Raw genomic sequence first — 25,595 nt, 5'->3', positions numbered from 1 at the left:
AGGGTTTTACCATGTTGGTCAGGCTGGTCTTGAACTTCTGACCTTGTGATCCGCCCACCTCAGCCTCCCAAAGTGCTGGGATTACAGGCCTGAGCCACCGAGCCCGGCCTACTTGGGTTTCTTCATAGTTTTCTCACATCAGTGTGCGTCTCTAGACACAATCATTCAGACTTGTCCATCAACAAGTTTTTGCTCTGCCTTTTAAGTCCATTTTAAGCTACAGGTTTCTTCTCTGTTCCTTTATTTTCTTTTCTATTTATTTATTTATTTATTTATTTGAGACGGAGTTTTGCTCGTCACCCAGGCTGGAGTACAATGGCGCAATCTCAGCTCACTGCAACCTCCGCCTCCTGGGTTCAAGCAATTCTCCTGCCTCAGCCTCCCAAGTAGCTGGGATTACAGGCATGCACCATCATGCCTGGCTAATTTTTTGTATTTAGTAGAGATGGGGCTTCACCATGTTGGTCGGGCTGGTCTTGAACTCCTGACCTCAGGTGACCCACCCACCTTGGCCTCCCAAAGTGTTGGGATTACAGGCGTGAGCCAACGTGCCCGGCCTCCTTTATTTTCCATACAACTTATCTATTAAAGAACCTGAAGAATTTGAGCTGTTGTGTTTCCTACAGGCTGGACTTTGCTGATTGCATCCTCACGGTGCAGTTCAGCATGGTCCTCTGTCCACTGGATTTCTTGGACATTGGCAGCCAGATCCAGAGGCCTGATCCCATGCAGGCCCGGTCCCTTTGGCAAGATGGTAGGTGGTAGTGTGTCTTCAGTGAGAGCCACACAGTGACTGGCTGTCTCTGTGAGGACAGCATCTACTGATGCTCAAGGCCTACGCCCACTGATTCATCAAGGATTGCAAAATGCCGATAGTCTGGTTCTACCACTTCACTTCCATTTATTAGCTGGACTACTCCTGTAAACAGATGCTTCCCTTCATGTGCTCTTGTGATTTAATTACCAGGAAATAGCAGATCAATACTTGGTTGTTTCCTTGAATTTTCTAATTTTCAGGATAATAAGCTAACTAGTGTGCTATCATTCTCCAAAGGATTTTTGGGGAAAAAAAAATCAGTATGAACCCATGATGGAAGCCACTCCGATGAGGTTTGATCCTCTGCAATTTTTATCCTTTGTTGAAACTCAAATTTTCCCATCTCTTGCCAGAGGGAAAATGAAGTTGGCTCCTGGGTCCTTTTGGCCCAGCCCTTGTCGTCTTTCACAGCTTTCTTGCTATCTGATGTGACGAGATGATCCAGCCTCATTTTACACTTTTACTGCCCAAGACCTGGAATCAACCATTTCTCCAAGAAGTCTTGGATTTGTATTTCTGTTTTTGTTTTTCATTTATTTTTATTTTTATATATTTTTTGAGATGAGTCTCGCTCTGTCACCCAGGCTGGAGTGCTGTGGTGCGATATCGGCTCACTGCAACCTCCACCTCCCGGGTTCAAGTGATTCTCCTGCCTCAGCCTCCTGAGTAGCTGGGATTACAGGCGGGCACCACCACGACCAGCTAATTTTTGTATTTTTAGTAGAGATGGGGTTTCATCATGTTGGTCAGGCTAGTCTCGAACTCCTGACATTGTGATCTGCCTGCCTTGGCCTCCCATAGTGCTGGGATTATAGGTGTGAGCCACCGCGCCTGGCCTGTTTTTGTTTTTTAGTGAGAAATGGCTTATCAAGACCAGTCTGGATACTAGGGAGGCTCAGTGCTAGGGGGTTGGTCATTGTTTCTAGGCCTCTTCAGTGAACATTTAAAAACTAATATACACCAAGAGTTCATACTGATATCCAATTCAAAAGAAGGACCATATGGTTTTTTAATTAATCTCTTCTGTATTACAAAGGCACATTCTTTCTTCCACATCAGAATCCTGGTCCTCAAGGACATGCAGTATCCCATCATTATCCCACATTACCTACACAGTAGCCTCAGGATAACAATTCTAAAGTTACCATGACTAACATAATTATTGAAAATAATTTTTGATATGCTCTCCCTATTCGGCTCAGAGTTTAAAAATAAATGTGCTATGTCTACATTGTCTGACCTATCCAGTAATTCATACTATACTCTTTTCCTTATAACACTCATTTAGTTGTAGTTTTAGAAGTAACTGAATGTTTAATGCTTGCATGGTCATAATAGTTTATGCTTTTTGCACATGAAAGTCAGTTTTGCTAGGTATAAAATTCTGGGCTTAACTTTTCTTGAGAGTCCTTAATATGTTATTTATTTTCTTTTAGCATAAAGTGTTGCTGTCAAAGAGTCTGATGAGAACATTTTTTTTCCTTTATAAATCACTTACTGTTTTTGTTTAAATGTTCATAGTTTGTTTTTCCCTCCTTTTCTTTCTTTCTTTTTTTTTTTTTTTTTTTTTTTTTGAGACTCTTGTTTCCCAGGCTGGAATGCAGTGGCATGATCTCGGCTCCCTGCAACCTCCGCCTCCCAAGTTTAAGCGATTCTCCTGCCTCAGCCTCCTGAGCAGCTGAGATTACAGACGTGCACCACCATGCTAATTTTTTATATTTTTAGTAGATACGGGGTTTCACCATGTTGGTCAAGCTGGTCTTGAAATCCTGACCTTGTGATCTGCCACCTTGGCCCCTAAAGTGCTGTGATTACAGGTATGAGCCACCACACCCGGCCTTCCTCCTTTTCTTTAAAGTACAATAATTTCACAAGAATGTGTTATGTGTCTTGGTGTTGGTTGTTCTTGTTGATATTCTCAGGTACGCTATGTGTTATTTCAATGTGGAATTTCAAATCTCTTTTTTAATTTATGGAAAGTTTTCTTGAGATCATGTATAGTACTTTCCCCCATGTATTCGGCTTCTTCTGCAGGGAGTCCTATTATCTAAATGTCAGATCTTCTTACAGATTTTGAATATTTGTCACTTTTTCTTCAAGCCTTTCATCTCTTGTTATTTCTTTCTTGATTTTTAAAACTTGTTGTTCTTTTCAACTTCTATTTATCTGTTTATTCACTTTTGTGTTCCATCTAGTTTAGTATTTACATCTGAAATTTTTAACTTTTTGTTTCTTTGGTCTATTACTTCATTTCTCAGTTTTCTTCTAATTCTGACTCGATTTTTCTATTTTCCTTTCTTTCTTTCTTTTTTTCTTTTTCTTTTTTTTTTCTTTTCTTTTCTTTTCTTTTTTTTTTTTTTTTTTTTGAGACAGAGTCTCGCTCTGTCACCCAGGCCAGAGGGCAATGGCACAATCTTGGCTCACTGCAACCTCTGCCTCCCTGGTTCAAGTGATTCTCCTGCCTCAGCCTCCTGAGTAGCTGGGATTACAGGCACCTGCCACCATGCCTGGCTAATTTTTGTATTTTTAGTAGAGATGGGGTTTCACCATGTTGGCCAGGGTGGTCTCGAACTCCTGACCTCAGGTGATCCACCTGCCTCAGCCTCCCAAAATGCTGGGATTACAGGGCACCCGGCCCCATTTTTCTTCTATGTTTTGTTTATTTTCTTAACACTTTTGGTTTCTTTCAAGATAGAATATTAGAATTTTCATTTAGTCTGGGCACGTCTTTCTGGTGTGCTTTCATTACCCAGAGGGATATCATTCTGTCTCTTATTCTCTTTTTTGCTTATAATAGCTGTGCATTTGTTTGCTATACAACAGACTGGGTGGCCTAACCAAGAGAAATGGATTGTCTCATGGTTCTGAAGGCTGAAAGTCCAAGATCAAGGTGTTGGCAGGTTTGGTTCTTTCTGAGGCCTCTCTCTTTGGCTTGTAGAAGTCTGACTTCTCCCTGTGTCCTCCTCACATGGTCTTCCCTCTGTGCATGTCTGTTTCCTAATCTCTTCTTCTTCTTCTTCTTCTTCTTCTTCTTCTTCTTCTTTTTTGAGACAGAGTCTTGCCCTGTCACCCAGGCTGGAGTACAGTGGCATGATCTCGGCTCACTGCAACCTCCGCCTCCTGGGTTCAAGCGATTCTCCTGCCTCAGCCTCCCAAGTCGCTGAGATTACAGGCACATGCCACCACACCCGGCTAATTTTTGTATTCTTAGTAGAGGTGTGGTTTCACCATGTGGACCAGGCTGGTCTCGAACTCTTGACCTTGTGATCTGCCCACCTTGGCCTCCCAAAGTGCTGGGATTACAGGCGTGAGCCACCACACCTGGTCCCTAATCCCTTCTTATAAGAACTCCTGCTGTATTGGATTAGGGCCCATTCATATGATCTCACTTTTACCTTAATTACCTCGTTGAATGTGACTGCATTTGGAGATAGGGACTTTAGAGGTATTAGGGATTAGGAATTCAACATATGAATTTGGGGGGGGACACAATTCAGCCCCTAACACTTTCTATGGGTGTCATGGTTTGCATTACATCCTTCCAAGAAAGATGTCAAAGTTCCATCCCCAGTACCTCAGAATGTGACGTCACTGGAAACTACGGTCATTGCAGATGTAATCAGTTAAGATGAGGTCACACTGGAGTAGGGTGGGCCCTGATCCAAGATGACCGTTATCCTTATAAGAAGAGGGCTATGTGACGACAAAGACACACAAGATCATGTGATGACAAAGGCAGAGATTGCAGCGATGTAGCTGCGAGCCAAGGAACACCAATGATCACCAACAAACCACCAGGGGCTGAGACAAGTCATGCTCCTACAGAAGGAGCATTCTCCCACAGAAGAGGCATTCCCTTACAGGAGGAGCATTCCCCTACAGAAGAGGCATTCCCTTACAGGAGGAGCATTCCCTTACAGAAGGAGCACTCCCCTACAGAAGTCCCCTACAGGAGCATTCTCCTACAGAAGGAGCACTCCCCTACAGAAGGAGCATTCCCCTACAGAAGAGGCATTCCCCTACAGAAGGAGCATTCTCCCACAGAAGAGGCATTCCCTTACAGGAGGAGCATTCCCTTACAGAAGGAGCATTCCCCTACAGGAGCATTCTCCTACAGAAGGAGCATGCCCTACAGAAGGAGCATTCCCCTACAGAAGAGGCATTCCCCTACAGAAGGAGCACTCCCCTACAGAAGAGGCATTCCCCTACAGAAGGAGCACTCCCCTACAGAAGGAGCACTCCCCTACAGAAGGAGCACTCCCCTACAGAAAGAGCACTCCCCTACAGAAGAGGCATTCCCCTAGAGGTTTCAGAGGAAGTGCAGCCCTGCTGACACCTTGATTTTGGACTTCTGGCCTCCAGAACCATGAAGTAATACATTTCTATTATTTTAAGCCACCCAGTCTATGGTACTTTGTTATAGAAACTCATCCATGGAATTTGACCTTGATGCTTTTGGGTTGATCATCCTTAAAGGAAACTAGTTTTCCTGGAATTTGAGAAAGAGTATCATTCACAGTTATCTTCCTGACTTTGCAGAGCTCACCTCCTGACATTCTTCCACATTTACCCGGACCTTCTCTTCCCACAGTCTCTATGGTCTCTTTTCTACACAATTTCTGTTCCATTTCCAGCAGTCTCTCCCTCGTGTGAGACTCTGACCTTAGGGAGAGCTGTGGTGGCTAAGTTTCAAAAGCTCCCAAGAGCAAGCCTGCGCCAGCCCCTTCCTCCCTCCCACTGGCTCTGTGCACACTCTGGCCCCTGGAGTGAGGAAAACGCCTCCCAGTTTCAGCTGCTGTTCCCCCAAAGCACCTAGTACACTTTCTGGGGATACCTGTTGATTATTTTGGGGTTCTGCCACTGTTTTTTCCTGCACAGATGCCAAAGTCATGCAGGTGGGCCTGAACTGCAGACAACCATACCTTGTTTCGTTTGTAAATGTTTTCCATGGAAACATTTTTTTTCCTATCTAGTTGTCTGGGTGTTTTTTGGTTGGGATCTAGAGAGCTTCAGAAATAATGCATCTGCCTTTCCAGTCTCTACGCTACACGTTTTGCATATCTTTTTTCTGAGACAAAGTCTCACTCTATCGCCCAGGCTGGAGTGTGGTGGCACAATCTTGGCTCACTGGAATCTCTGTATTCCAGGTTCAAGCAGTTCTCCTGCCTCAGCCTCCTGAGCAGCTGAGATTACAGGTGTGTACCACCACGACCAGCTAATTGTTGTATTTTTGGTAAAGACGGGGTTTCATCATGTTGGCCAGGCTGGTCTTGAACTCCCGACCTTCAGTGGTCTGCCTGCCTTGGCCTCCCAAAGTGCTGGGATTACAGGCATGAGCCACCGCACCTGGCCCATTTTGCATATCTTATTTCATTCCAGCCTCATAGCCCTTTCCTCCTTACCACACTGCCTCCTCCTTTAGCTAATAAGATATCCTGTTTTGAGTTTGGGAATGGCAGAGCGGGCTCTGTGAGATGGGGCTGGAGCAACAGTCTCATTCATCCCAGGGATGCTGCCTCTCCCCCGTATTTGCTGCAGTGGAGGACAGGGGATCAGAGCACAGATCCCAGCCCAGGCTGCCTGCGTCTGAATCCCAGTGCCACTGGAAACCAGCTGTGGAACTTTGGGCAAGTTCCTTCACCTTTCTGTGCCTCCCTGTCCTCACTGTGGAATGGGGATATTAGCACTGCTTGCTTCCCTAGGCTGCTGTGAAGAGTAAACGAATTACATGCTTGGAACAGCGCCTGTCTCATGGTCAGCACTCTATGTGTTAGCTGTTGGAGTTGTTATTATTATCATTACAATAAAAATCACCCTTATTGCTGTCTTTTCTCCTTGGGAGCTTGATTTACTAGTGACACAACCAGGAAAGCACAGGTTCTGAATCAAAAGTGATGTCAGCTCCACATATGACCTTGGATCCCTCCAAACTCTCTGAATCTTCATCCCCATTTCAATGAAAAGCCACACGAACACCCAGTTACCTTCCAATGAATGAAGAAACCCACACTCACACCTATGGAGTGTTTACTCTGTATCAGGCGCTGCCTGCTGGACTATTTCAGGCCATCTTCAAAATCAACCATAAGGTGGGCCTTGAGGCTCTGAAAGGCTGACGATGTATCCAGGGTCACAGAACTAGTAAATGGCAAGAAGGAAATTCAACCTCCTGCTCTTATTTTGCTTTTCCTGCATGGTGTCCTCTGTCAGCAGCATGAGCCGAGAACATGGCTAAGGAGCCCCAAGGAGCTGCGGGACAGGGGTGAGCACTCAGGTCACTCAGCTGTCACTCCCACAGTGCACTCAGGCACACACGCAAACGTCGATGGGATCCCAAAATGCAACGGGACCCCTCAGGAGGCAGGGAGTTCCACAAGCAAAGAAGAGTCCCTTGGTGGGAATGTTGCAGAGGAGCTTCTGGCAAGCTGTGGAAGGTCACTGGGTAGCCTCCAAAGCCCCTGAGAGGTTTCCCCCACCTCTTCACATTGCTATGCACATGAAGGCACAGGTGTTCCTTCCAGCCTGAGTAATCCCGCCCCTGACAAATGGATGCCTGAATAGGACAAGAACCCCTGCTGTGGCTTGCTGGCTAAACAGAGGAGACAATTTTTACTTATTTTTTTGAGACAGAGTCTCACTCTTCTTGCCCAGGCTGGTGTGCCATACTCCGATCTCAGCTCACTGCAATCTCTGCCTCCTGGGCTCAAGCGACTCTCCTGCCTCAGCCTCCTGAGTAGCTGGGATTACAGGTGCCTGCCACCATACCCAGCTAATTTTTGTATTTTTGGTAGAGACGGGGTTTCTCCATGTTGGCCAGGCTGGTCTCAAACTCCCGACCTCAGCTGATCTGCCTGCTTCGGCCTCCCAAAGTGCTGGGATTACAGGCGTGAGCCACCACACCTGGCTGAGGAGACGATATTTGAACTAAGCCTTAAAAATGCTATCCATCCATCCATCCATCCATCCATTGGTCTGTCCATCCATCCATCAACCTGCATGTTTATTCAGATGTTTACTGAGCTCCTTCTTCAAGCCAAACATTGCAAAGTTGCAGAGAATACAGAAATTAACCAGACACAATCCCTGCCCTCAAAGAGCCTGGCTAGTGGGGACGTTAAGGAACAGCCACAACACAATGGGGTAAATGCTCTGATGGAGGCACCTGGGGCCAGGGGAGCTCAGGCTAACTGCACTGAGGAGGTGACTTCTGAGCCAAGTCTGCAAGGAGAATGGCAGTCTGCAGGGGGACAGCATGGCACATGCTAAAGCCACAAGAAGGCAGATTCAGGGAAGGGCAAGCCTCCCCGTGGGGCCAGGGTACAAGCACATGGATGAGCTGGGGTGGGGCAGGTGCAGCTCAAAGGGTGGGCAGAGGCCAGATCAGGCCAGGCCTCCCATGCCATTCCAAGGAGGCTATGCTTCATCTGCTGGGAAAAGACAACCATGGAAGGTTCTAAGGAAGCTCAGACCATCGTAACCAGACTGGTCCTTCAGAGAGGCTCCTGGGCTGCATCTTGGAGAATGTACTACAACATGGGAGACTCGAGGCTGGTGCAAACCTGGCATGATCAGAGAGAGGGCCAGGAGACAGTGGCAAGGGCCGTGGGGAAAAGGGCTCATGCTCCCGTGGCACAATCACAGCTGCTCAGCGCAAGGTGTGGAGCTGACTGTCTGTCCAGGTCCATCTTCCTCACTAGGCATCAAGGTGGGTATCCTCCAACCCCTGCTTCCATGGAAGAACCCTGCAGTCCTCTTTACTTGATCCCGCTGGGGTGTTCTGCCTTCCCTTCTTGGATTTCTGCCTGGAAACAGTGTCAGCACAGTGTCACAGCCACAGAAATGCTAGTGACATAAGCCAGGGCTGGCAGAGTCATCTGTTCCCTGAACAGACATTGACAGAGCACCTTCTGCACGCGAGATGTCTTGCAAGGAGCTGGGAACACCGCACTGAATGAGATAGACCTGGTCCCTGCCTTCACAGAGCCTTCTGGAAGGTGCGGAAGACAAATGTGAAACGCGAGTCAACAGGAACCGCAGCCTGTTACAAGCACCATGAAGGAAAGGGGTCATGAGAAGGACGGACAGAGAAAACAGAAGCCAGGGGTGGCAGGGAAGGCCTCTCTGAGGCAGGCACATGAGCTGGAGTTTAAGCAACATTCAGGCCAAGGGTGCAAAGCACGTACCAAGGGCCGGAGGCAGCAGAGCTTGCAGCGTGGCTCAAGGGAAGTGGGCAAGGATAGAACAAGTTGAGGCCAGGCTGGAAATTGCATGCAAGGACTAAATTAGGCACGGCCTTCAGACATCTTGAGGATCTGGAGGCCTTAACCCAAATGGTAAGGAAGCCAGGAACGGTTTTAGGCAGAGGCTAAAAGATCACTCCAGCTGCTAAGCAAAGAATGAGCTGTAGGGGAGGTGAATGGACGCTGGGAGCAGCAGAGGGGGACAGATGACTGGCTTGGCTGGACCATGGTGGAGGAGATGGAGGGAGGCAGGGGGTTAAGGCCCTCAGTGGAGGTATTCTGGCAGAACGCAACAGCCAGATCTGTGGAGTCAGTAAACCAGGGCTCGGATACCAGCTGTGTGATCTTGGGCAAATCACTTGCCCTCTCTGAGTCTTCATGAGGATGACCACCTGCCTGGCAGGACTGGTGTAAGGCCTATGAAGGATCCCGTGAGTATCACATGTATTGTGTGGTCCTTTGCCTCCCCCCGGCACAGGGCCAGGATCCTCAGTGGGGGCAAAACGACTTCACTGAGGCAAGAGCTGCATCCTAGGAGCCGCAACCGCATCCCGTGTTTCTGCACCACAGATTTGGGCTTCTGATCAAGACAAACAGAAGAGGAGGCTTGAATCTCAGGAGAGAGCTTTCTTGTCTCAGTGAAATGCTCACCTCCGGGGATACAGCAAAGAACCAGGCAGGGGCCAGCAGACCCGCTTCCTTGACCTGGCATGGCCACAGCAGGCCAGACGACCCTGGCCAACCCTTCCCCTTCTCTCTGGGCCTCAGTTTCCACATCTGTAAAACGAGAGGGGACTGTGCTCAGCAATCTGAGGGCCCTTCTCCACCACCACCTTTATTCTTTGGGTTCAACACAAATGAAGACAAGTTAACACATGTGAAATGATGTACCCGGCCTGGCCTCCCTGTCGGCACAGACAGTGGGCTCTGTGAACAGGGACCCCCGAGCACACACCCTCTAGTGGGGAGCGCTCCTCAGTCAGCCCTCGGGGGTACCAGGCGGTGGCCAGTGCCCAGCTCACCCCCGGGTAACAAGCGGCACAGACTCCCAACCATGCCAAATAAAACCAAGGCACGCGAGGCTCACTGTGTGGGACGCTTGCTAAGACTTTATTAACGCCCCGGAGGGCAGGGTTAGGAAAGCAACAGGAGGGAGACCCCGCGACGCGAAGCGAGTGCTCAGAGCTCTGCAGACACAAAGATGAAAAGCTTGGCCACAAAGGAGCTGACGGTGCCGTGGCGAGAGAGATCCATCTTGACGGTCAGGAGCAAGTCCCTGGGCTCGGGGACAGGCTTGGTGAGGGCCACCACCCCACTGTGGGGGCTCACCTTCCGGGTGGTGAAAAAGCCCTCCTCATTGCCGCCGGTGATGGCCAGCTGCATGCTGTCCCCGGGGACAGCACTGGAGGGGCCCATGCGGAAAACCACCGCGGGCGCTTGGATGTTGGTGGGGAAAGAGAGGTGGTAGTAGGTTATTCTCAGAGGCAGCTTGGAGCACTCCCGATTCTCATGGCAAGGCAAGCGCTCACAGCGGCTGCAAGAAAAGTGGGCAGAGAGACAAGAAGAGGGTTAGGGCCGGTCCAGCAAGCGGAGAAACGGCAGAGCGCGGGGATGCGGGGCTGGCAGGCGGGGCCTCCCGCCGCCCCTCTGGCCGATTCAGCCAACACGAAGGGCACACCTCACTCACCTGCGGGAGGCGCCGTGGACCTCCAGGCTGCTGATTCAGGCACTAGCCTCTTCCAACACCATCTCGGGCGCTGGGTGGCCGGGGGCCAAAGGCTGTGCCCGGAGTGAGGTGCGTCCCCTGCTCACTGGCAGAGCCCCACCCCAGGGGCACTCCCCAGGCACACCCTGCCCTTCCCAGGCCCTTGCCCAGACAGTGGCCAGGGCTACGCAGGGCTCTTGGTTGTGTCTCGGAGGTGACCCATGAAATGACTATCTCTGCCACTAGCAATCAGAGCTGCTGCCGTTTACCAAGTGCTCAGCTCTTCCTCACCATGCACTCTCTAGTGTGATCACTGCCACCACCCCATGACAGTGGCTTCGGTGATATTTTTCACATGAGGACACTGAGGCTCAGAGAGAATGTGGCCTTCCCACTTCCCAAGGTCACAGAGTGAGTGAGGGAGCCATATCGCTACTCAGCCATTGAGGTCAGTTCCCAGTTCCTTGTCACTAAGCCCTCGTGTTCCAAGCTCAGTAACCCATCTGGGTCCACAGGGCCAGATCCCAACTTCCTGTGATAGAAACAGAGACAGGTCCTAACTTCCTGGGTGGAGACAGGGATGGGTCCTAACTTCCTGCAGTGGAGACGGGGACAGGTCCTGTGATGGTTAATAGTGTCAACTTGATTGGATTGAAGGATACAAAGTATTGATCCTGGGTGTGTCTGTGAGGGTGTTGCCAAAAGAGAGTCACATTTGAGTCAGTGGGCTGGGAAAGGCAGACCCACCCTTAATCTGGGTGGGCACAATCTAATCAGCTGCCAGCACGGCTAGACTATAAGCAGGCAGAAAAATGTGATAGGAGAGACTGGCCTAGCCTCCCAGCCTACATCTTTCTCCTGTGCTGGATGCTTCCTGCCCTTGAACATCGGACTCCAAGTTCTTCAGTTTTGGGACTCGGACTGGCTCTCCTTGCTCCTCAGCCTTCAGATGGCCTATTGTGGGACCTTGTGATCGTGTGAGTTAATGCTTAATAAACTCTCCATTATACATATGTATTCCGTTAGTTCTGTCCCTCTAGAGAACCCTAACTACTACAGATTTTGGTACCAGGAGTGGTTCTAGAGGAAGAGAATATTAAAGATGGAGTTCTTTCATTGGTTTTGGGGTTTCTGGGGTTGGCTGGTTAACGATTAGATCCAAAAATGCTAAGGACTCCACTTCTAATAGTATGGAGAACACTGATAGTCCTTGGCATGAACTGTTTAGAGAGTTATGAAAAATAAACGCATTTGAAACTCCTGATTCATCGCTCATGAGGCAAGTTTAGTGACTCTATACATAATATCTTTGATCATATGTGGAGAACCAAGGAACATAATGAAGCTGGTTGGTTGCTCCTAAGTTTAGTGGACAAAGTGATGAAAGAAAATTATGAACTCAGGGATTCCATCTCCCAGCTTCAGAAGCAGATACTGAGCCTCAAATCTGCTAAGATTGCCCTGAGTGAGAGTCTTATCTCCTGTAGAGGAAGAGCTGAAATTGTGGAAAAACAGACACAAGCTCTTATCATGCGAGTGGCTGACCTGCAATGAAAGATGCATGCACAGCCTCGCCAGGTGTCTGCTGTTAAAGTGAGGGCATTGATTGAAAAAGAATGGGACCCTGCAACTTGGAATGGGGACATGTGGGAGGAGCCTGATGAAGCTGGGGACACTGAGTTTATAAACTCTGATGAATCTTTTTTGCCAGAAGAAACAGCTTAACAGCTTCCCCATCCCCAGTAGTGGCAACATCCCCGCCCCGACCCATCAGCCTTTCCACCTTTGTCTAAGGAGATAAACCCCACGCTGCCTGAGGCAACAGTGATGGCCTCCTGTGAGGCAGTTGCCAGGCAAGATAATGTTGATTCTCCTCAGGAGCCACCCCTAACACCCCTGTTTGCCTCTAGACCTATAACTAGACTAAAGTCCTGGCGGGCCCCTAGAGATGAGGTTGAGAGTGTGACCCATGAGGAAGTGAGCTACACTCGAAAAGAACTGCTTGAGTTTTCTAATTTATAGAAACTAATCTGGAGAACGGGCATGAGAATGGATATTAAGGGTGTCGGAGAATGGTGGAAGGAACATAGCGTTGGATTAGGCTGAATTTACAGATTTAGGCCCACTAAGCAGGGACTCTGCATTTAATGTTGCAACTCGGGGAGTTAAAAAAGGTTCTAATAGTTTATTTGCTGGTTTAGCTGAAATACGGATGAAGAGATGGCCCACTGTGAGCAAGCTGGAAATGCTTGGTCTTCCTTGGTTTAATGTAGAGGAAGGAATCCAAAGACTTAGGGAGATTGGGATGGTGGAGTGGATTAGTCACTTTAGACCTACTCAACCAAGTTGGGAGGATTCAGAAGATATACCCTTGACCAATGTCTTTCGAAACAGATTTGTGAGGGCAGCACCTGCATCTTTGAAGAGCCCTGTAATTGCTCGTCTTGGTATGTCAGATCTAACAGTGGGAACCACAGTCACTCAACTACAAAATTTAAATACAATGGAAATAATTGGATCCTGAGGTGGCAGTGGCCAAGTGACAGCACTCAACCATCAAAGGCAAGGTGGGTGTAGCTTCTGTAATGGACAGCAGAGGCAAAGCAGCAATCAGAATAGTCTGTCTCGTGTAGAGCTCTGGCATTGGCTAATTAATCACAGTGTTCCTAGAAGTGAAATTGATAGGAAGCCTACTGCATTCCTACTTGATTTGTATAAGCCGAAAACTTCTAGATCAAGTGGACAAAAGACTAATTTGAATTACAAAAAAAGAGAATCACGGCCCCTCAATCAATTTCCAGACTTGAACCAGTTTACAGACCCAGAACCCCTTGAATGAAGGGGAGGCGGGTCCTCTTGAGGAAGGACCCCACTACATTACTGACAATTTATGCAGTGAATCTTTCTCCCATCCTTCCCCAAAGAGACCTCTGGCCTTTTACCAGAGTAACTGCATTGGGGAAAGGGAAATGATCAGACATTTTGGGGACTATTGGACACTGATTCTGAGCTGAGGTTGATTCCAGGGGACCCAAAACGTCATTGTGGCCCTCCAGTTAAATAGGGGCTTAAGGAGGTCAGGTAATTAATGGAGTTTTAGCTCAGGTCTGACTTACAGTGGGTCCAGTGGGTCCCCGGACTCATCCTGTGGTCATTTTCCCAGTGCCAGAATGCAGAATTGGCAGAGACATACTTAGCAGCTGGCAGAACCCCCACACTGGCTCCCTGACTGGTAGGGTGAGGGCTTTTATGGTTGGAAAGGCCAAATGGAAGCCATGAGAGCTGCCTCTACCTAGAAAAACAGTAAATCAAAAACAATATCGTATTCCCGGAGGGATTGCAGAGATTAGTGTCACCATCAAAAACTTGAGACGCGGGGTGGTGATTCCCACCACATCCCGGTTCAACTCTCCCATTTGGCCTGTGCAGAAGACAGATGGATCTTGGTGAACGGCAGCGGATTATCGTAAGTTTAACCAAGTGGTGACTCCAATTTGCAGCTGCTGTACCAGATGTGGTTTCATTGCTTGAGCAAATTACCATATCTCTTGGTACCTGGTATGTAGCCACTGACTTGACAAATGCCTTTTTCTCCATTCCTGTTCCAAGGCCCACCAGAAGCAATTTGTCTTCAGCTGGCAAGGCCAGCAATATACCTTCACTGTCATACCTCAGGGGTGTATCAACTCTCCGGCTTTGTGTCATAATCTTATTCATGTCATAATCTTATTCGGAGAGACCTTGATCGCATTTCGCTTCTGCAAGATATCACGCTGGTCCATTAAATTGGTGACATTATGCTGATTGGATCCAGTAAGTGAGAAGTAGCAAACACACTGGACTTATTAGTGAGACATTTGCATGCCAGAGGATGGAAAATAAATCTGATAATAAAATTCAGGGACCTTCTACCTCAGTAAAATTTCTAGGGGTCCAGTGGTTTGGGGCCTGTCGAGATATTCCAAGGTGAAGGATAAGTTGCCTGCATTTGGCCCCACCTACAACCAAGAAAGAGACACAACGCCTAGTGGGCCTATTGGATTTTGGAGGCAACACATTCCTCGTTTGAGTGTTACTCCAGCACATTTATCGAGTGACCTGAAAGGCTGCCAGTTTTGAGTGGGGTCCAGAACAGGAGAAAGCTCTATGACAGGTCCAGGCTGTTGTGCAAGTTGCTCTGCCACTTGGGCCATATGACCCAGCAGATCCAATGTTGCTTGAGGTGTCAGTGGCAGATAAGGATGCTGGCTGCAGCCTTTGGCAGGCCCCCATAGGTGAATCACAGTGGCGGTCTCTAGGCTTTCGGAGCAAGGCCCTGCCATCTTCTGCAGATAACTACTCTCCTTTTGAGAGACAGCTCTTGGCCTGTTACTGGGCTTTGGTGGAAACTGAATGTTTGACTCTGGGTCATCAAGTCACCATATGACCTGAACTGCCTATCATGAACTGGGTGCTTTCTGACCCATCTAGCCATAAAGTTGGTCATGAACAGCAGCATTCCATCATCAAATGGAAGTGGTATATACGTGATCGGGCTTGAGCAGGTCCTGAAGGCACAAGTTAAGTTACATGAGGAAGTGGCTCAAATGCCCGTGGTCTCCACTCCTGCCAACTTGCCTTCTCTTCTCCAGCCTGCACCGATGGCCTCATGCAGAGTTCCCTACGATCATCTGACAGAGGAAGAGAAGACTAGGGCCTGGTTCACAGATCATTCTGCACGATATGCAGGCACCACCCGAAAGTGGACAGCTGCAGCACTACTGCCCCTTTCTAGGACATCCCTGAAGGACAGTGGCAAAGGGAAATCTTCCCAGTGGGCAGAACTTCAAGCAATGCACCTGGTTGTGCACTTTGCATGGAAGGAGAAATGACCAGATGTGCGATTACATACTGATTCATGGGCTGTGGCCAATGGTTTGGCTGGATGGTCAGGGACTTGGAAGAAGCATGATTGGAAAATTGATGACAATGAAATTTGGGGAAGAGGTATGTGGATAGACCTCTCTGAGTGGTCAAAAACTGTGAAGATATTTGTATCACATGAGAGTGCTCACCATATCACATAAAAGAGCTCAGCAGAGGAGGATTTTAATAATCAAGTGGATAGGATGATTCATTCTGTGGACACCACTCGGCCTCTTTCCCCAGCCACCCCTGTCATTGCCCAATGGACCCATGAACAAAGTGGCCATGGTGGCAGGGATGGAGGTTACACATGGGCTCAGCAACATGGACTTCCACTCACCAAGGCTGACCTGGATATGGCCACTGCTGAGTACCCAATTCGCCAGTAGCAGAGACCAACACTGAGCCCTCGATGTGGCACCATGCCTCGGGGTGATCAGCCAGCTACCTGGTGGCAGGTTGATTATACTGGACCTCTTCCATCATGGAAATGGCAGAGGTTTGTCCTCACCGGAATAGACACTTACTCTGGATATGGGTTTGCCTATCCTGCACACGATGCTTCTGCCAAGACTACCATCCGTGGGTTCACAGAATGCCTTATCCACCCTCATGGTATTCCACACAGCATTGCCTCTGACCAAAGCACTCACTTTACTGCTAAAGAGGTGTGGCAGTGGGCTCATGCTCATGGAATTCACTGGTTTTACCATGTTCCCCATCGTCGTGAAGCAGGTAGATTGATAGGATAGTGGAATGGCCTTTTGAAGTCACAATTACAATGCCAACTAGGTGACAGTACTTTGCAGGGCTGGGACAAAGTTCTACAGAAGGCCATGTATGCTCTGAATCAGGGTCCAATATTATGGCACTGTTTCTCCCATAGCCAGGATTCACGGGTCCAGGCATCCAAGGGTGGAAATGGAAGTGGCACCACTCACCATCACCCCTAGTGATCCACTAGCAAAATTTTTGCTTCCTGTTCCTGCAACATTACGTTCTGCTGGCCTAGAGGTCTTAGTTCCAGAGGGAGGAACGCCGCCACCAGGAGACAGAACAAGGATTCCATTAAACTGGAAATTAAGATTGCCACCTGGACACTTGAAGCTCCTCCTACCTTTAAGTCAACAGGCTAAGAAGGGAGTTACAGTGTTGGCTGGGGTGGCTGACCCAGACTATCAAGATGAAATCAGTCTACTACTCCAAAATGAAGATAAGTTAGAGTATGCATGGAATACAGGAGATCCATTAGGGCATCTCTCAGTATTACCATGCCCTGTGATTAAGGTCAATGGGAAACTACAACAGCCCAATCCAGGCAGGACTACAAATGACCCAGACCCTTCAGGAATGAAGGTTTGGGTCACTCCACCAGGAAAAAAAAAAAACAAGATCTGCCAAGGTGCTTGCTGAAGGCAAAGGGAATACAGAATGGGTAGTAGAAGAAGGCAGTCATCAATACCAGCTACGAGCCATGTGACCAGTTGCAGAAACGAGGACTGTAATTGTCGTGAGTATTTCCTCCTTCTTTTAAAAACATGGCCAGGTGCTGTGGCTCACGACTGTAATCCCAGCATTTTGGGAGGCCGAGGCGGGAGGATCACTTGAGGTCAGGAGCTCAAGACCAGCCTGACCCACATGGTGAAACCCCATCTCTACTTAAAATAGAAAAATTAGCTGGGTATGGTGGTGCACACCTGTAATCTCAGCTACTCAGGAGGCTGAGGCAGGATAATCACTTGAACTCGGGACGTGGAGGTTGCGGTGAGACAAAATCACACCACCACACTTCAGCCTCGGCAACAGAGGGAGACTCTGTCTTAAAAAACACACAAACAAAAAACAATCAAAAATGTTTGTGCATGTATACACTTGTACTAACAAAAATGACTTCATTTTATTTCCTTTCTCTTTTATCAAGTGACATAAGATTTATTGAATTCACATCAGCATTTAAGTATCGTTAACTTTATATAATAGTATTTGGGTTGGGGATTGGTGAGTTTCTGGTCGTATGAAGTATAGTTATGTTAGGTGTAATTATGATCTTATTATTGTCTTTATTTGAAGATTATGTATGATCTCAGGAGATGTGCATGGGTTCAAGTTGACAAGGGGTGGACTTGTGATGGTTAATACTGAGTGTCAACTTGATTGGATTGAAGGATACAAAGTATTGATCCTGGGTGTGTCTGTGAGGGTGTTGCCAAAAAAGATTCACATTTGAGTCAGTGGGCTGGGAAAGGCAGATCCATCCTTAATCTGGGTGGGCACCAACTAATCAGCTGCCAGCACGGCTACAGCATAAGCAGGCAGAAAAACGTGAAAAGAGAGACTGGCCTAGCCTCCCAGCCTACATCTTTCTCCCGTGCTGGATGCTTCCTGCCCTCAAACATTGGACTCATTTTTTCTTCATTTTTGGGACTCAGACTGCTCTCCTTGTTCCTCAGCCTGGAGATGGCCTATTGTGGGGCCTTGTGATCATGTGAGTTAATCCTTAATAAACTCCACTTTATATATATATTCCATATATATATTCCATTTTATATATATATATATATATTCCATTTTATATATATATATATATGTATATTCCATTAGTTCTGTCCCTCTAGAGAACCCTAATACAGGTCCAAACTTCTTGTGGTGGAGACAGAGACGGGTCCCAACCTCCTGCGGTGGAGACACGGACGGGTCCCAACCTCCTGGGGTGGAGACGGGGACGGGTCCCAACCTCCTGCGGTGGAGACGGGGACGGGTCCTAACCTCCTGCGGTGGAGACGGGGACGGGTCCTAACCTCCTGCGGTGGAGACGGGGACGGGTCCTAACTTCCTGTGGTGGAGACGGGGACGGGTCCTAACTTCCTGTATAGGATGAGCACAGATTCCAACTTCCTGTTACAGATTCTAACCTCCTGTGACAGGATGGAGATCGGTATTATCTTCCGCTACAGGATAGTAACAAGTTCTAATTTCTTGTCACAAGATGGGACAGGGGTCGTCTCCTGTGTACTGAACTCCTGGCCCATCATACTCTGAAGGTGGCTGCCTGAGGAAGCAGGGCCCAGGTGCGGAGCCCCAGAGGACCTGGCCCAGGTGCTCCAGGAAGCCCTGCCATCTGGGCTGTGTCTGGATTCTGAGGTCAGGAGCATCCTCTCGTCCTGGCCTTCTATCACATCTCCCTTTTGGCTTTTTAAGTTTCCATGTCTCGTGCTGGGTTACTTGGACTTGCTTGAGGCATTTATCGAGACTGGGGTCTCCTTTTACCTCCTCTTTCCAGGTTTGTCAGGACTGACAGGAGGCCTTGCATTTACTTGGCTAGTGATCATTCCAAGCTCTTAGAAAGGACTGGCCTGGGAGTCAGGGGCACTGAACGGGGGAGTCCTGCCTGGGAGGGGCCCAAAACAGAGGCAGGAAAGAAGGTGGGCACGGGTGCTGCTGGCGGTGGCCTGCCCCAGAGATGCCCAGGTCCAGGCCAAACGGGAGTGCTCCAGGCGATCTGAGAGCTCTCCCCCAGGGGGGCCTCTGAGGAGCTATGACCAAAGCGTCCGTGAACTGGGGGAGGAGCATGGGACCCATGAGCTGTGCTTCCGGGTGCAGGTGAACTGCGCTTCCGGGTGCAGGGAGCAGGCTGCAAGCAGCAGACTTTCCTTCCACTCGCTCCCTCCACTGTCTCCCATCGTCCTCCCGCTCTACTGGCTGGAAGACAGACGCCCATTGAGGATGCAGAACTTGCTGATAGCTCCGTGGTGTGTCGTAAGGGGCAAGCTTGGCTTTCAAAGTCGGCCTGTCTTACTTCAAAGCTTTTACACACACAATGTATGCACACACACAAGCACGCGCACACGCACACACACCAGCAACTTCAGGACCAGCCTGGATGGGGCTGGTCAGCAGGTGGCGCTAGAGTCGCCCTGGTGGGATTTCGGCTTCCCGCTTCTCTCAGCATGGCGGGTACTAACCAGGGATGGAATTTGTTTTGCCAGAGGGAAGCGGAGGAAAGCAATGGGAGGTGTGCGTGGTGTTCTGGTGCAGCTCCCGCCGTCATCACACACAGCGACTGGTCACTCCTCCCCTGGAGGCTCCCCCTCCGACCCCACACAGTCATTCCTCAGAGCACCCCAAAACCTTCTCTACACTAGGAGTTTCTGGGCTGGCTCCTTCTGGACAAAGAGCAGGGCCTGGGGCACCCGCTATGTGCTTTGCAAATGACTAATGCACAAAAATAAACATGTCCTTGATTTTCCTGGTAAGTCCTGGCTTCAATGATCGTACTTCGCTCTACTCAAACTTTTTAAAACACCAGAAACATAACTGTCTGGCAAACTGCCTGTCAGACTGGGAACGGCCCAAAAATCCCTTTTAGCCAGTGTGTCTAGGTCAGGGACGGGTTGTCATCACTGAATGTATTACAGAGCAGGGCATAGGCGAGCCCGCCCCGTCCCCCCCTGCCACGCAGGCCCTGGTTTCCAGACATGTCCCCTCAGCAGGCCACCCATCCTGGGCCATGTCATGCGTTAGAGGACAATGTGCTCCAACTTGCCAGTTCAACACATTTGACCCTAACACCTCAAGCTCTATGGAAATGATCCTAAGCCACCACACACCAGAGAAAAAAGGCCCTCTAGGCCCCCTCCTTCTCCTGGGAGGCACGGCAGTTCTGGCCACCCCAGGTGCTTGTGGATATCCCTGCCGGCATTTTCCTGACTTTCACACGCTCGTCGTCCGGGAGACAAGCCCCAGGAACTGGCCAAGGCAGGGGGGCCATCGACGGCTCTATCTCTGCCACCGTCCACCGTGTTACACCCTCAGGCCCACAGCTGTTCACTCGTGTCCCATCCCCGGGAAGCGGCAACCAAGGCCACCCGGCTTTGCTCCAGCTTTCTAGACCACAGGTCATCAGGCGCCGGCCCCACTGAGGGGATAAAGAGGATGTGTCCGGCCCCATGAAGGCTGTGGGACAGCTTTGCACACTTCCTCCTGCGGGCAGAAGGGAATTGTGTGGGCAGGACTGTAACAGCCTGGTCCTGTCCACAAGGCCGAGCCCTGTGGTTTGCGGCCCAGCTTCCTGGGTCATGCTCCAGTTACCAGCCCTCGGCCGCCGGGATGTTCCCCAGATGGAAGCCGTCTGAGTGGAGAGAGAGAGAAAGGCACAGCAGCGGACTCTGCAGTCCTGTCTGTCAAGGCTCCCGAAGGAGGCGCTCTTGCTGAGTTGTTAACCACAGAAGCGCCGGCCATGGGTCCCTCCTAAATATGGCTCTTTTAGATTTTAAAAATTGCTTTCTGAAGCTTAGATGAAAAAACGTGTTAAGCAGCTTCGATTTTTGATGAGCAGGAAAAGGGGCTGTAAAATACAAAACTCCAGTCTGAGGGGTTAGCAGTGCTGAGAGGGGGTGGCCCCTCCTCACTATCAGTCCCGGGAGTCCAAGGGCTGGAACAAGCCAGGCGCCCAGCAGCTCAATCCCTTACTGCACAGCACACAGGGCCCAGGTTTCAGGCTGAACTCCCCATTTCACCGCACATGTGTCCATACTCCCGCCGCTTCTGCCTAATTCGCTCCCCCTTCCACCTCCATGCAGGCATGGCCCACTCCAGACAGCCCCCTGCCCACCCTCACGCCCAGCCAGGTGGGGTCCCCTCCTCCCTCCTAGCACACACGCCGAAGGCGGAGCCTGTGCGGGGACAAAGCCCTCTGTGGGCTGTCTACCCAGGTGCCTGCACGCAGTAGGTCCAGGAAGAAACGACTTTCTCCAGCACTGAGGGGTGGCAGAGGCTTCCACAGCCAACATGAGGGGTGGAGCTGGGTTCCCCTGATTTCAGCCATGACCTCAGCACACATGGCCAACCCGCCCACCCTCAGGCTTAGGAGGCGCCAGGGCCCCTGTGCAGGGCAGCCTCCCCCTCTTCGAAAGGTGGTTTCACGACTGTGCGCAAGTTAGAAATCGAGGTCACAACCACAGCCAGCCTCCTGGAATCCTCAAGCCCAGGCGCTGACAAAGGCTGGGGAGAGAGTGAACTTACAATGACAGACGGCTGCACAGCCTGCAGCCAAGGCCATCGAACTTTCTTAATGGCTCAGAGAAGCAGTGTCACTGCCTGGGGCAGGCTGTTGCATAACCATGAGCTCTTCGGGATGCTACAGACTTGCAAACCCAGTTTTGGGGCAGCTTTTTCCTAACCCAAGCTCAGGAAGGAAACAAGATGTTGGGTTTTCAAGCAGACAGAAATCCGTGCTGGGAAACAGGGAAATGGCTGGGCCAGCCAATGAGAATCGCAAAGCCAGGAAGAATATGGAGGGCTGCCAGGGACAACGGGGCTGCTCGGGTACCCAGAAGCCTTGCTATGCCACAAGCCAGGGCAGCTGCCCCTAGGGTCAAGAGGTGGACACTACCACTGACCCTCAGGTCGCGGGGGCAGCTGGCCAAGAGCCCAAGGCAGGCTGAAGGTCAAGGGGCCAAGGCCTCGGAAACAGCTGGCTGCCTGCATCGTGCACTCAGAGTGCTGGGAGAGGTCACAAGTCCACAGTCCTGAGATCGGTCCCAGCATGGAGCTTTTCCTGAAGCAACTGACTGTGGCACTAAATGAGACTTTCTGAATACAATTAGGGGCAAGGGGGATAGGAAGTGGGAACCGTGGTCTCAAGTGGGCGCCGTGATGGCCTAGGAGTGAGTGAGCTTACAAAGACATAGGGGCACGCAGCCCCACGTTTAGGATCTGGAATCTTTGATGCCGTTCCCACACGGTCACCAGGCTGGACGAATTCTGGCTTTCAGGTGGGCACCTAACAACAACGTCCAACAGGTCACATCGGCTCCCTGGCTTTGGGCTGACATGGAGACATTGCTACCTATGCATCTCAGTCAGAGCACGTTCTGACATCTGCATGTTACAGATGAGGAAACTGAGGCCCAGAGAGCTTGCCCAAGGCTTCCACCCTAGGAAAAAAGAGGGCTGTGGTTTCTCCTGGTTCTGTGCACAGCCTTGGCCTGAAAACATGACTATAGACCCCAGACTCATTTGCAGTTACCCCCTTGACTTTCCGAGACCAGTGTCACTAGCATTTAGGGGCTTGAGGGCCAGGGATCAGGTGATCTTTGAGTGCCCTGAGTCCCTCATGGGAGGACACCGAGGTCACAGCCTGATAACCCACCCACCCGGGAACTGGGTCACCAGGAAGGCCAACACAGACAGACGACGATGGCATGGTCCAAGGGACTTACGTGGCTGCGGAGCGGCGGTAGTTCTCAGGGCACTCGAAGGCCAGGCAGCGGAAGCCGCCCTGGATGTTGAAGCAGGTCTCGTTGATGGAGCAGTTGTGGATGCCAGTCACACACTCATCAATGTCTGCAAGAGACCCCACAGCAGCACAGTGAAGGCAGAGGCTGCAGGAGCCATACCCATCTGGAGACGGAGGAGCCCAGGCCTCCCATCAACTAGGGTTAGGGGTGGCGATCAGGCCATCCCTGCCCTCCACTGGCTGATCTTCAGAGCAGCGTCCTGTGCCAGTTCTTACATTTATAGGGTATTTACATTTATAGAGTGTTAACTTATCATTCGCAATCCCTGGAGGGAGCGTGACGATGGTAAAAGTAAACACTACATGATGGGTCCTGGGAGTACCTCGCAAGGATAAGTCACTGAATCCTCCTAAGAACTCAATGAGGCAGATACTGTTATGATCCTCATTTTATGAGGAGCTCACAGAGCTTAAGAGACCTGCCTGAGGTCACACATTTTATAAATGTCAGAGCTGAGCTTTGAACCCGGGCAGGCTGGCATCAGAGTCCATACACTAACTAACCAGAGCCTCTCTGTGGCTCCCGAGGCTCAGCACCCTTACCCTAGGTGTGACTCAACCTCTTAGGAGAAAAGGGCAGGAGCTGCTAGCTCCACACAACAATGAGAAAAACAGCCTTCGAGGGATCATACGTCTTGCCTGTGTGTTGGGGTTGGTGGCTGTTCAGGGTGGACTGGAACCACCAGGTCTGGGACTCCTGGGATGGGGCCTGGGGCACCACACTGAGAGGCCCCTGGAGATGGGGGAGCAGCCCAACTCCCATAGACTCTGGAGCAGCCAAACAGTGGGGCTCAGGGGCTGTCACCAACCCTGGGAGACATCCATTAAGAGGTGCCAAATGCCTGAGCATCGGTGGCAAAAACAACACTCCCCAGCCTCAAAGGCCCGGCTCAGGAATGTGTTTATGCTGAGTCTGGGCGGGACCCCAGGCTGTGGTGAGGGAGCCTGGCCAGGAGAAAAGTCATTTGCTCCGTCAGAAATGCAGACACAACCAGCCTTCCATCCAGAGCCCAGGGCAAGCGGAGGGGGCCTCCCAGGAAACACCGCAGCTCCTGCCTGCCTTTCATCAAAGTCACCTTCCTCATGACCAGAAGCTACATCTGTGGGACCCAGGGGGCTTCCAGAGCCCCAGGATCCACAGTCCTGTGTGGGGCTCCCGAGGAACTGGCTGGACAGCCCCACCTCCATGACTCAGCTTCTGGGCGCAGTGTGTACACTGAGGATCACGCGCTCACAAACATCTACTCAGCACCCGCTGTCAGTGATTGAATGGATGGTTATCAGATGGCTCTGGGGGACACACACTGCCCCCTAGAGCATTCGTAGAAAAGGGGGCTGAATGCAGAACCAATGCCATTGGCCACCATTACTTAGCCGATGCTGGAGCTGACCCATAGCCATGAGTATCCCTGGGCCATCCCACACCAGGCCACGCCATCCCCTGGCCTGGACTGCTTCCTCCCTGGCGGGCATCTTCCTAAAGGCCTCTGTTCCAGCCTTTACGGGGCTGCTGAGGGGAGGGGAGGAGGGCTGAAGTGTTCCTGCCGGATGCAGCCGCCACAGGCTCAGACAATCCAGAGGACAAGTGTGCTGGGGCCTGGGTGTAGGAGACCAGGGTGCTGCAGACCCCAGGACACCCCTTGGATGGGGTGGGCCTCCTTTTCCTGAATGCATTCCATCTGTGCTGTGGCCCTTGGGTTGGGGAAGCACAGCCCCCGAGCCCAGCCTCAGCCCCACGACATTGCAGGGCCCCAAGCAGAGCGTGAGGGACCCCAGGGCATCCCTCCTGCTCACCTTGGCAGTTGCGGCCATTGGGGGCCAGCCTGTAGCCAGACGAGGGGCAGCTGCACTGGAAGCTTCCAGGGATGTTGATGCAGCGGTAGGAGCAGATGTGGCCCCCGGTGGGCAGGGCGCACTCGTCGATGTCTGCAACGGCAAAGCCCACCTCAGCCTCAGTGTCCTGGCACCTGGCCATGGCTGCTGGCCATGCTACATCGCCCTGGGGGCTGCACTGGGGCCCGGGAGGGCAGCAGCACAGGACAAGCTGAACACAGGAAGCCTCAGAGACCATCGTGCTCAGAGAGGCGATGGGACTAGCCTAGGGTCACACAGCAAGTTCATGGTGTGAAGTATGCATGTGGCGGGCAGGGGGAAATATGGACCACAGTTCAATAATAAGAAACACACCTCAGCTGGGTGCACTGGCTCATGCCTGGAATCCCAGGCATGGGAGGCTGAGGCAGGAGGGTTACTTGAGCCCAGGAGTTCGAGACCAGCCTCGGCAACAAAGTGAGACCCTGTGTCTACAAAAAATCAAAAAAGTTAGTCAGGCATACTGGTGCATGCCTGTGGGCCCAGCTACTCAAGGAGGCAGAGGTGGGAGAATTGCTAGATCCCAGGAGATGGAGGCTGCAGTGAGCCGTGTTTGTACCACTGCCCTCCAACCTGGGTGACAGAGCTGTCTCTGTCTCAAAAACAAACAAGCAAACAAAATACACACACACCTTACATGAAAATGGTAATCATCGTAATTGCCCTTAATTGCCTGTAATTGCTGTCATCTAGTTTAATCCTCCAATGATCTGGTGAGGCTGAAGTTAATCATCATGTTACAGATGAAGAGTTAGAGCT

The 25,595-nt window shown here is 50.5% G+C and overlaps 1 protein-coding gene across 4 annotated transcripts in view, besides 2 other annotated features; it reads right to left on the bottom strand.

Annotated features, from left to right (window-relative positions):
- FBLN1 (fibulin 1) overlaps window positions 1–25,595 on the bottom strand; it is a 98,253-nt gene that overhangs the window by 27,633 nt on the left and 45,025 nt on the right. The window contains exons 13-15 of one of the 4 annotated variants that reach the window (NM_006485.4): window positions 24,759–24,890; window positions 22,888–23,011; window positions 7,797–8,619 (exon numbers count right to left, since the gene is read on the bottom strand). In NM_006485.4, the coding sequence (NP_006476.3) occupies window positions 8,511–8,619; window positions 22,888–23,011; window positions 24,759–24,890 (365 nt within the window). In that variant the 3' untranslated portion in view covers window positions 7,797–8,510. Of the gene's footprint in view, window positions 1–7,796; window positions 8,620–10,140; window positions 10,592–14,790; window positions 15,433–22,887; window positions 23,012–24,758; window positions 24,891–25,595 lie in introns of those variants that run through there. The other 3 variants (NM_001996.4, NM_006487.3, NM_006486.3) reach the window with 3 other exon arrangements.
- Window positions 19,547–19,656: an enhancer, noted in NCBI's record as "active region_19228". NCBI's record gives its function as "activates an Ori minimal core promoter by ATAC-STARR-seq in GM12878 lymphoblastoid cells {active_cell/tissue: GM12878}" and the evidence as "EXISTENCE:reporter gene assay evidence [ECO:0000049][PMID:35858748]".
- Window positions 24,345–25,132: an enhancer, noted in NCBI's record as "H3K4me1 hESC enhancer chr22:45944251-45945038 (GRCh37/hg19 assembly coordinates)". NCBI's record gives its function as "activates a minimal SCP1, AML or CMV promoter by ChIP-STARR-seq in primed H9 embryonic stem cells {active_cell/tissue: H9 hESC(primed)}" and the evidence as "EXISTENCE:reporter gene assay evidence [ECO:0000049][PMID:30033119]".

Source organism: Homo sapiens, chromosome 22 (assembly GCF_000001405.40).
Source record: "Homo sapiens chromosome 22, GRCh38.p14 Primary Assembly".
Taxonomy (NCBI): Eukaryota; Metazoa; Chordata; class Mammalia; order Primates; family Hominidae; genus Homo; species Homo sapiens.
This window is presented reverse-complemented; position numbering and strand designations above follow the sequence as displayed.